Here is a 12,464-nt window from a genome sequence, read left to right on the forward strand (position 1 = left end):
TTTCTTTAATGTTCCAAATAAATTCAAGGAATGCATTTTCATTCTAGGCCTTCATACAAAGACAGAAATATAGGTAGATCAACATTAAAAAGATAAAAGTAGTTCCCATTTTTATTAGCAGTAGGAATTTGAGAGATCGAGAAAGTAGTGATTATTCTCTAATAGCAATCTTAAAGAAAAGTATGTAATGCTAGTTAGCTTGTCGTTTTGTTTAACCTGACCTCTAGGTTAGTGGTTCTCAACCTTGTTTGCAAGTTGGAATGACATGGGGAGCTTGAAAAAGAAAAAAGTGGAATGCCTGTATCCACCCCCAGAGGTTGGGAATAAACTGGTCTAGGCTGTGGCTGATGTTTGGAAGTTTGAAAAGCTCCTCAAGTAATTGTAATGTACAGACAAGTTTGGGAACCAGTGCCCTGGATTGACCTTGGGTCCAAGGTCTTGTGTCATGGCTGTCCAACAGAACTTTCTGAGATTATGGAGGTAGTAACTGCAGTGAGAGCTACTACCCCTGGAACAGAAGAGACAAAGGGAAGAGAGTGGTGTTTTTGATATAAGAGCTAAGAAGAAAGTACTTAGGCAGATAGTGAGGGCATGGGAATCCTCCGTAAGGTCTTCCTTTTAATGAAAAGCAGCCCCAAAATCATTTTCTTTTCTAATAAAGAGCAGCCTGTAAAATCGAACTGCAGACATAGACAAGCAAGCTGGAAGCTTGCACAGGTGAATGCTAGCAGTTGTGCCAATACAAATATACTACCTGGGAGTAAGCATGTTCAAAATGGTGGCTCCATCTTCTCCTTTTGCCAGCCATGTGTACAGTAAAGAGCAGACAAGATGGCACTGGCCAAATGGAAAGGCCGTTTGCGTAATAAGATTAGGGTGGGGCAACCAGGCTTTCCATGCCCTATGTAAACATCACACCTGGTTAAACCAATCTGTGGGCCCTACAAATCAGACACCGCCTCCTCAAGGCTGCCTATACCATCTGCTGCGATCTGCAGCCTTTCCCTTTTGGATGCCTCTCTCTCACAAGAGAGCGGGAGCTGCTCTCCTCTCTCCTTTCTGCTATTAAAATTTCTGCTCCTTAACCCACTCCAGTGTGTGTATGTCCGTGTGGTTAATCTTCTTGGTGCGAGACGACGAACCCTGGGATTTACCCCAGACAATGATGCTGCTTCATTTTCACAACCAGGGAGCTTCTAAGAGGACTCTACAGAATTGAAAGTGACTCCTGAAAAATGGAACTGCCCAGTTGGTGCTACTATCACTGAGGTGGAATGCATCATTCTGGGAGTGGGGAAAGAAAATACCATCAACCAACTGTTGCTGCCGAACCATTGCTGGGAAGACTAATGGGAATAGACAAGAAAGAAGTCTTTTCCCCTCTCCTCCTACTTTGTAGTCTCACTTTTAATGCCCTTAGTCATAGAATCTAACAAGACAGTAACTGGTCAAAAGGACACAGTTTGCAGAATCCCAACTCCAGTCAGCATCTCCAAGCCAGATACGGAAGCCAACTATGGACTGCATAGTTGACTGAAACCACAAAAATACCACAATGGTGGTATTTTAATAATAATTTTAGTAGTAGTAGCGAGATAATAATACTGTATTTTTACCATATCTTTTCTATGTTTTGATATGTTTAGATACACAAATACTTATCATTGCGTTACAATTGCCTACAGAATTCAGTACAATAACATGCTGTACAGGTTTGTAGCCTAGGAGCAATAGGCTATACTGTAGAGGCTAGGTGTGTCATAAGCTTGTAATAGCAATCATTATTCCCACAGATCAACTGTGTTTTTCAGTTGTTGATCTAGGTTGTGCTCACCTAACGTTTTAGCCTTCTGCAGTAGTTGGATTTATCGTTCATCAAATATCTACTCCCTGTTAATGTTGGACTTGGCTGTCAGGTATGATATGGCTGATGGAATTGTAAAGCAAAAATTAAATCTAAGTCCTCCAGCTCACTGAATGGACCCTTCTCTTGGCTAAGGGGACCTGATAAAACCTGAAAAACTAGTTCAGGCCATGACAGGAAGGTGGGTAGATGATATTGGACATGCTTCATTATACTCTTCTTCCTTTGGAGTTCAGGCATACAATTGACCAACATTAACTTTAAAATAGAAAGTCTAAGACTGGCAGAACAGACTCTTTGTAGCAATAAGATACAAACTCCAATCCCACCCAGGTATGACGTCACATGGCAGAAAATAGGCCCTAAAAGGAAATCAAAGTATTTTACCCCGAAATGTGTATCTTTGACATATTTTGAAATTGTATCAATCTACTTAGAAGTTTATTTTGCCAAGGTTAAAGATCAGCTGTTCTTGTGGGGGAAATTTACATTCTGTAGAGATTCGGCTTCCTTTACTAGGTCTCTCCAGAGAGTCTGACCCTTTGATAAGAGAGATTCACTTTTCTCTGAAGTCTGCTACCCGGAGGCTTCATCTGTATGACAAGAACCTTGGCTTGCACGACTCTCCTCTTACTTTAACTCAGAGCTGATTTCACCTCTTCAGGCAGAGCTTCACCCTTTTAACCAATTGCCAATTAGGAAATCTGTAAATCTATCTATGACCTGGAAGCGCTATACCTCCCCCCGCCATCACTAGGATATCACACCTTTCTGGGCTGAAGCAATCTATAACTCACATTTATTAATTTATGTCTATGCCTAAACTTCTGTCTCCCTAAAATATTTAAAACCAAACACCAAACTAACCCAACCACCTGGGCACATGTTCTCAGGAACTCCTGAGGTCGTGTTATGGGTCATGATCTTTAACCTTGCAAAATAAACTTCTAAGTAGATTGATACTATCTCAGATACTTTATGGTCTACAGAATGTTAGTGGACACAAATAGATGCCTTAAATGTGTTTGCCAGATTTGGAATTGCACCATGAGAAGAATATGACTGTATTACTTCATTCTTGCCTTATTATAAGTAAATACCTGAGACTGGGTGATTTATAAAGAAAACAGATTTAATTGGCTCATGGTTGTGCAGGCTGTACAGGAAGTATAATGCTGGCACCTACTTGGCTTCTGGGGAAACTTATAATCATGGCATAAGGTGAAGGGGGAGCAGGCATGCCACATGGTGAAAGCAGGAGCAAGAGAGAAGGGGGAGGTGCCAAACTTTTTTATACATTCAAATCTCACGAGAACTCACTCATCATCGTGACAGCACTAACGGGATGGTGCTAAACCATTCGTGAGAAATCTGCCCCCATGATCCAGTCACCTCCCACCAGATTCCACCTCCAACATTGGGGATTACAATTAAATATGATACTTGGGTGGGAACACAGATCCAAACCATATCAATGCCATTTCAGCCTAGGCTACAGAATGAGATGCACGTAAGAAGTCTGTGACCTGGACCAGAGCAGCCCAGCTGAACACATGCTGGATTGGAAGAACCACCTTTGACCTGAAGACCTGTGAGTGAGAATAAATGCTGTTGTAAGTCACTGAGTTTTGGTTTGTCATGCAGCATTATTGTGTAAATAGCAGGATGAATCACACCCTTAGCTTGTACCTTTGGCTCTTTAGTTGAAGATGAAAAATTTTAGGCAAACTAAAACTGCCTCAAAAAACAGCAGCGTATTATCACACAAGATAAAGAATGTGTAGGAGTTCTCTGAATTGCAGCTAACATAATGTTATCTGAATAAATGTTGAATTCTTTTTCTTCTTGGGCAGTAATAAGTTTGTTTTTGTTGTAGGATATTTCAAAATAGTAGATAACCATAATTAGCATGTAATTTGTTGGCAACACTGTCTTTTTAGCAGTTCTAACCCATAGAAACTTAAATTCATAGTTATCAGTAATGCTTATTGTGAATGCTTTAATGTAGCAATTCTTGCATTTTTATGCATCTTGCTAATTAATGGTTTACTGTTTTCCTGGTCTTATGTATCTATAGTCTCATTTAATTTTAACAGTTATGTCTTCTAACTAAAGGAATTAAAGCCAGAAAAGGAGGTAATTATTGGACTGATGACAAAGTGATCTATTCAGTTATCTTAGATTAGGTAGGGCCAAAGCCGAACTTAGAATCTAGGTAAGATTTGGAAAGGAGCGGAAGAGGGCATCCCTATTTAGGCCAAAACTATTAGAGTAGGGATTTTTGAAGGATGAGGATTGACGTCAATTGAGATTCCAGCATACCTGGAATAGAGGATTTGTTTTAGGAATTGGTAATAAATATGTTAGATTAAAAAAGCAAAAGAAAAAGAAGTTTGCACTTGATGGAGTGGGCAGTGGAGAACTTGTATAACATCATGTTAATAATGCTTTATGGAGATTTTTCTGATGATAATATTCAATTAAAATCTTTAAAGTTTGTAAAACATGTTTAACTCCCTCGTATATGTCTATTACATGCTAGACACTATGCTGGGTAGTTATATTCACGTAAGTGGAGAAGTAGGCATTGTAGGGGTTAAAAAATTTAATAAGATATGGCCCCTGCTCTCAATGGAGCAGACAGATATTTTTACAGCCATAATACAAGTTATAGTTTAATAAGCACTATAATAAAGGTAAAATAATTAAGAGAATATAGATGAGGGAAAATTAATTACTATTAGGAGGATCAAGGAAGTTTTATAGAAGAGGTTGTAAATGGACTGCTAGTAAATTACTCATAATGGACAAAAAAGAAGGCAGAATCAAAAGTGATGTCAAAACTTTTAGTCCAGGAAACAAATAATGGTTTTGTCATGGCCAGAAATAGAAACCTGGAAATTATGATAATATTAACAACAATTTTGCATCAATTTCATAATTGATGTGTGTTGTGATGAGTCCACTTAAATTTTCTGATTCAATTCTAAGTGCTTTCCAAGGCATGGTTTAAAGCATTAGAGCATGTTTTTATTTAACAGTTAGCCTCATTGACTCAGGGTGTTTAACCCAGTTAGGCTTGGCATTTAAATGAGTAAGACATGAGAAAATATATCCCCATTTGGTTCTTCTTGTACATAAAGAGTGTTTTCAACAAACGTGACTAACAATGGTCTTTGCTAAAAATATATTACCTTATGTAGGCTATCTATAGTATCTTATCTATTAGAAAGTTTTGGGGATGGGATAGAAACCCCAAAAAGTTTTAAAATAATCAAGATATATACAGACACATAGACATATAAGAAGAAGAATCTCATAGTGTAGTACAATAGAATTTTAGCAAACGTGGGCTTTGGTCTAAGGAAAGAAAAGTTTAAGCCAACATCATGAAGTCTTGGAAAATGTGTACAAAGACATTGCCAGTAACATTACATTCCAATCAGTAACACATGCTTTTCTTGAGGTTAAAATCACTCTTTTAAATAAGTCAGCAAAGTCAGTAAATTTCTGCCGATGCTCTCATAAGTTCCTTATTAATGCTATAAGTGAGACTCTCCTTTCCCATATAAGATGAAAACTGCTCTGGCCTGGTTGACTCTAACATGTTACTTCAGTAAATTGGGTAAGGCCACTTTTATCTCTCAGAACCTGTTTCCTCATCTGAGGAATGAGAAGGTAGGACTTGATTCCTCCTCCCTTTTCCCTAGTCTTCCTCTCTCTCTCTCTCCCTCCTTCCCTCCAAAAGGAACCTCCTTTTGGGACTTCCTTTGTGTCCTAGTTTAGATTCTTATATATTTTACCCAGAGTACTATAATCCCTAGCAAGTCTCTTTACTGCCAATATTGTCTTCCTCAAAGCTATTCTCAAAAAAATGACCTGAATAATGAATCTAAAACCCCAATGTGACTATGTTTTTTTCTTAGTTGGCTACAGGTGATTCTACCTGATGTAGCTCCTGTTGTTTTTGCCATAGCTTCATTGCGGGCTACTTTCCCCTACTCTCTCATCACCTGGTTACTGCTGTCCTCTCTGAATGTAGTGAGTGCCCTCTATGACTTTGTGTATGGGCAAACTCCTGTTCATCCTTCAAACTCTTATCAAATGTCCTTTCCTCTGTGATACCTTCAAGAAGAGTAAATTCTTTCCTTCTCTTTTGTCATTATACTTGGTTTTTGCTTCTACGGTGGCACTTATTCCATTGTATTACACTTAAATTTCTGTATGTCTGACTCTTTACGCCCTGGGCACAGTGCCTTGCACATAATGGGTAGTCAATAAATACATATTGATTTGTGAGCATTTTGGTGATTTTTATTGGAGACTAAACTGCATAAGTGTTTTCAATTTTCAACTTCTTTTTGATAAATCTATAAATCACTGAAAATTAAGGGAGCAGGAAAATGTGACTTTAATATTTCTTAATACTAAAAAATATATCTGAGATGCGATTATTGATCAATTTCAGTATTTTAGAAACTAAATAAAACAGTAAAATTTGTGATCACTCTAAAGTATGAAGACATGTTTGGGCTTCTTCTAAGTGTAATGAAAGCATCGGGTGATTGTTCATATTATGGATTCCTGAGCTATTTCTTTACCAACTGCCCAAAAGGCAACACATCTGTTTCCTGAGTCCTGGATAAAATTCTTTACCTACATGTAGCCCAACTTCATGTTATGACTTCTGATATGCACTTGGAAAGCCTGTGTGACACATTTTCCTATGAATTTGGCTGCAGAATTCATTTGAGCCAACTTGACCCTTTTGCCTTACAAAAACACTGGAAATTCCAGGATCTAATTGGCACAAGAGTTATTTTTCCAGAAAGGAAGCCAGGTTCAGAGCAGTCACCAGTTATGTTCCCTTAGCTAGAATTTTCTTTCTTGTTTTCTAATAGCGTCTCTTTAAACAATATCGGGGAATGGAGCAGAAAAAATTTATTTGAGGAGCAGTTAAACTATGATTTGGAGAAATACATAGAAAATGTTATCTTTACAATTTTACTACCTAATTTTTTTTGTGTGTGTACCTATAACAGTTTTACTAAAACTTTACTTTTCAAATGCAGAGTGTTGCCTATTGCTCGTTTTAAGTATAAATATCTTAATGAAAACCCTTAAATCATATTTAGGTGTCAAAAGAATTATCTTTTGGAAAGAATAATATAAAAATATTTTATTTTATTAATATTAAAACATTTTTAAAAATTAAACGTAGGTTGAGGTTGAAATTTGAAATTGAGACAACTAGTAAAAGACAAGCAAGGTTAACAATTTTACTTGCAACTTAGAGTGAACAGGCTTTTTATCCTGGTGAGTAATTACTTGTTAGTGACTTTTATATGAACAGATATAATAAAATGGTACAAACTTAAACTATTCTATAGTAGATAAAGAAGGTAATGGATGGTGAGAAAAATAAATCCACTATATGTAAAATGTAACGAACTTGGAAGGGAAAAAAAAGATGCTACCTGTATTAGTCTGTTTTCATGCTGCTGATAAGGACATACCCAAGACTAGGCAATTTACAAAAGAAAGAAGTTTAATTGGACTTACAGTTCCACGTGGCTGGGGAAGACTCACAATCATGGTGGAAGGCAAGGAGGAGCAAGTCACATCTTATGTGGATGGCAGCAGGCAAAAAGAGCTTGTGCAGGGCAACTCCCATTTTTAAAACCATCAGATCTCATGAGACCCATTCACTATCATAAGAATAGCACAGGAAAGATCCACTCCCATAATTCAATCATCTCCCACTGGGTCCCTCCCACAACACGTGGGAAATATGGGAGCTACAAGATGAGATTTGGGTGGGGACACAGAGCCAAACCACATCATTTCACCCCGGCCCCTCCCAAATCTCTTATCTTCACATTTCACAACCAATCATGCTTTCCCAACAGTTCCCCGAAGTCTCAGTCCATTTCAGCATTAACCCAAGAGTCCAAATCCAAAGTCTCATCTGAGACAAGGCAAGCCCCTTCTGCCTATGAGCCTGTAAAATCAAAAGCAAATTAATTACTTTCTAGATACAATGGGGGTACAGGAATTGGGTAAATACAGCCATTACAAATGGGAAAAATCGGCCAAAACACAGGGATGACAGGCCCCATGCAAGTCCGAAATCCAGGAGGGCAGTCAAGTCTTAAAGCTTCAACATGATCTCCTTTGACTCCATGTCTCGCATCTGGGTCACACCGATGCAATAGGTGGGTTCCCATGGTCTTGGGCAGCTCCACCCCTGTGACTCTTCAGGGTACAGTCTCCCTCCCAGCTGCTTTCATGGGCTGGCATTGAGTGTCTGTGGCTTTTTCAGGTACAGGGTGCAAGCTTTTGGTTGATCTACCATTTTGGGGTCTGAGGGACAGTGGCCCTCTTCTCACAGCTCCACTAGGAGGTGCCCCAGTAGAGACTCTATGTGGGTGCTCTGACCACACATTTCCCTTATGCACTGTCCTAGCAGAGGTTCTCCATGAGGGCCATGCTCCTGCAGCAAACTTCTGCCTGGACATTCAGGTGTTTCAATAAATCTTCTAAAATCTAGGCGGAGGTTCCTAAACCTCAATTCTTGACTTCTGTGTACCCACAAGGTAAATACCACAAGGAAACTGCTAAAGGTTGGGGCTTGCATCCTCTGAAGCCATGGTCTGAGCTGTACCTTGGCCCCTTTTAGTCATGGCAGGTGTGGCTGGGACGCAGGGCACCAAGTCTCTAGACTGCACACAACACGGGGACCCTGGGCCTGGCCCACAAAACTACATTTTCCTCCTAGGTCTTCGGACCTGTGATGGGAGGGGCTGTCATGAAGACCTCTGACATGCCCTGGAGACATTTTCCTCACGGTAATGGGGATTAACTTTTGGTTCCTAATAACTTATGCAAATTTCCACAGCCAGCTTGAATTTCTCCTCAGAAAATGGGATTTTCTTTTCTATTGCATTGTCAGGCTGCAAATTTTTTGAACTTTTGTGCTCTGCTTCCCTTCTAAAACTGAATGCCCTTAACAGCACCCAAGTAACCTCTTGAATGCTTTGCTGCCTTGGAATTTTGTCTGCCAGACACCCTAAACCATCTCCCTCAAGTTCAAAGTTCCACAAATCTCTAGGGCAGTGGCAAAATGCTGCCAGTCTCTTTCCTATAACATAACAAGAGTCACCTTTGCTCCAGTTATGAACAAATTCCTCATTTCTATCTTTCAGATTTCACCACCTCAGTGTGGACCTTATTGTTTGTATCACTATCAGCATTTTGGTCAAAGCCATTTAACAAGTCTTTAGGAAGTTCCAAACTTTCCCACATTTTCTTGCCTTCTTCCGAGCCCTCCAAACTGTACCAACCTCTGCCTGTTACCCAGTTCCAATGTCGCTTCCGCATTTTCAGGTATCTTTTCAGCAGCACCCCACTCTACTGGTAACAATTTACTGTATTAGCTCATTTTCATGCTGCTGATAAAGAGATACCCGAGACTGAGCAATTTAAAAAAGAAAGAGGTTTAATTGAACTTACAGTTCCACATGGCTAGGGAAGCCTCACGACCATGGTGGAAGGCAAGGAGGAACAAGTCACATCTTATGTGGATAGCAGCAGCCAAAGAGAGAGAGAGAGCTTGTGCAGGGCAACTCCTGCTTATAAAACCATCAGATCTTGTGATTCCCACTCAGTATCACAAGAAAGACCCACCCCCATAATTCGATCATATGTTACTGGGTCCCTCCTACAACATGTGGGAATTATGGGAGCTACAAGATTAGATTTGGGTGGGGACACAGAGCCAAACCATATCACTATCTAAAGAGTTGGGGCATCATCATCAAATAGAATGACTTTTAAATGAATATTTATGTATTATAAGGTAATGTGGGGAAGAATTTGGTTAGAATTCAATCCTTGAAGCGTGGCTGACATCCATGTTCATTTTTGCTTAAGGGTTAATCTATGACATGGGGTGGGCAGAACTTAAGCAGAAAGCCATAGTCTTACTAGTTTTCGGTATTAGAGGATAGAGTTTGAGGCTTTCAGAGTGGTTGACAATTGAGGAGAACGTTCTTAAAAGGATGAATTCAAAAGCAGAGAATCCCTAAATTGTCATATAAACTGCCACTGAACTACATATGCACCAGGGGGACTCCAAGAAACTTATCAGAAAGAAAAAGCTAGATGGCTGAAAATGATGAACAGAGATTTTAGCTGCTGCTAAATCAGAGTATCTAAGAATAATAAAAATAGTTGACCACACAAAATAGTTTTAGAGAAATTGCAACTTTAATACACATCTGGTGAGAATACAAAATAGTAAACTACTTTGAAAAGTGTTAAACATCCATCTGCCATATGGCACAGCCATTTCATTCTTAGGTATTTGCCAAACCAAAATGAAACCTATGTTTACATGAAGACTGCATGTGGATGCTCATAGAACCTTTATTTGTAACAGCTACAAAATGGAAACAACCTAAATATTCGACATGGGAATGAATAAACATATTGTGGTATACCCATACAATGGAGTACATTTTACTCAGCAGTAAAAATGAGCAAACGGTTAATACACTCAATAACACTGATGAATCTCAAAGTTGCTATTTTGAGTGAAAGATGCAGGCAATAAAACAGAGTATACTATATTAGTGAATGTACATATCATTCAATGAATTTCAAATTAATCGACAGTAACAGGAAGTAAATCATTGGTTGTCTGGTGAGAGAAAGCAGGTAGAGGCAGAAGGAAGGGGCTACGAAGGGCAAGAGGACACTTGGGGGATGATGGAAATATTTTTTATATTGTGTGGCAATAGCTTCATGGGTGAATACATATGCTAAAACTTATCATCAAATTATATACTCTAAATTATGTGAGGTCTGTTGTTCTTCAATTATACCTCAATAACTGCATTAGTCTGTTTTCACACTGCTATAAAGAACTACCTGAGACTGGGTAATTTATAAAATAAAGAGGTTTAATTGACTCACAGTTCCACAGGGCTGGGGAGGCCTCAGGAAACTTACAACCATGGTGGAAGGTGAAGGGAAAGCAAGGCACATCTTACATGGCAGCAGGAGAGAGAGGGAGTGAAGGGGGAAGTGCCACACTTTTAAACCATCAGATTTTATGAGAACCCACTACCATGAGAACAGCACGGGGGAAATCTGCCCCCATGATCCAATCACCTCCTACCAGGTCCCTCCCCTGACACAAAGGGATTACAATTCGATATGAGATTTGGGAGGAGACACACAGCCAAACCGTATCAATAACCTTTTAATATTTCATATTCTCTGTTAAAACACAAGCTACTTGCTTTGCTTACTCTTTTCTCACAGCAACATTTAATTGTCCTTGAGGACTCAAAATGCAGTGTGGTGACTGATCATCTTGGACCATGTTAGGCACTACCTTGAACTGTTCCTCAGGGAGCAGTTACTTCCCTATTTCCATTGTTCTGAAGACAGATATACTAACCTATATGACATGTTCTCACCAAACTTATAAATGACCAAAAGTTGAAAGTGTGAAATGGTGACACATAAAATGAATCTAAGAGATAGATACTTTAATTTGAATTATTGATTATCTTACTTTTAACCTTCATATATTAACTGCCAATATTAAAATGAAATTCCTATCTCATGTATGCTAAATACAAGTTCAGACTACTCTCATGCATTTGAAGGATGTTCTTCCAACACCAGAATCTTTAAATGATCATCTTTCAACAATGAATCCTTCCATATATATATATATATATATATATATATATATATATATATATATATTTTTTTTTTTTTTTTTTATACCCTTATGTATATACCCTTAGCGTCCATACTAAGGGTATGGATAATGTGTTTCTTTTGCAAACAATTTGTTTTTTGTCTAGAATCAGCCAGCATCCATTGTGACTTAAGGAACATTGTGTTTCAGTCTTAACTAACTTTATGAATTTACATAACAGTAATTAAGAGAGGTAGACATTGCAGTCTTTATTTTTTTAATAAAATTATAAAAAAACAGATAAATGCTTTCCATAGAGAGGCAATATTAGAATTCATATTAAAACTCAAGAATCCTTAAATGATCAGACGATTAATAACACTCTGTCTTTATGAAAAAGAAATGGTTTCATAGATGGAACCAGGGACCAGTGCATCAATTTAATGGTGCAAAAATTCTACCAACTTTACAGAAATTATGCATAAGAACTTGGTCTGCATTGTCAGTTAAGATAGCTCTTATATTTTGTATGATATTTATTTGCTTAGTTTGCTTAAAGCATTTTTACATACTTACGTAACTTAATCCTATCAAATTATCCACAAAAGGTGGAGTGAGAAACATCATGATAAAATTTTTATAGTCAGGAAAATAAAGCTGCAAAATGCATATTGAAACTTGTAACATATTTAGTAGCAATGTTTCTGCTCTGGTAACCTCCACACCACCAGATTTCATTTTTCCAAGCATTCTTAACTTTATTTTGGAAAAAATATTGACATATATTGTTAGCATTAAGAAGCAAGTACTTAGAAGCAATTATTACTATAACCTCTACCCATGTGCTACTTATCTCTAAAGAACTTGGAGCTATTAAAAAAAAAG

The 12,464-nt window shown here is 38.2% G+C and overlaps 1 long non-coding RNA gene across 1 annotated transcript in view; it reads left to right on the forward strand.

Annotated features, from left to right (window-relative positions):
* Positions 1-12,464, forward strand: part of LRIG3-DT (LRIG3 divergent transcript) — a 210,172-nt gene that overhangs the window by 195,664 nt on the left and 2,044 nt on the right. Inside the window, exon 5 of the long non-coding RNA NR_183518.1 lies at positions 3,351-3,455. This is a non-coding gene — a long non-coding RNA (LRIG3 divergent transcript). The remainder of the gene's footprint in view (positions 1-3,350; positions 3,456-12,464) is intronic.

The sequence above is a fragment of the Homo sapiens genome, chromosome 12, assembly GCF_000001405.40.
Source record: "Homo sapiens chromosome 12, GRCh38.p14 Primary Assembly".
Lineage (NCBI taxonomy): Eukaryota > Metazoa > Chordata > Mammalia > Primates > Hominidae > Homo > Homo sapiens.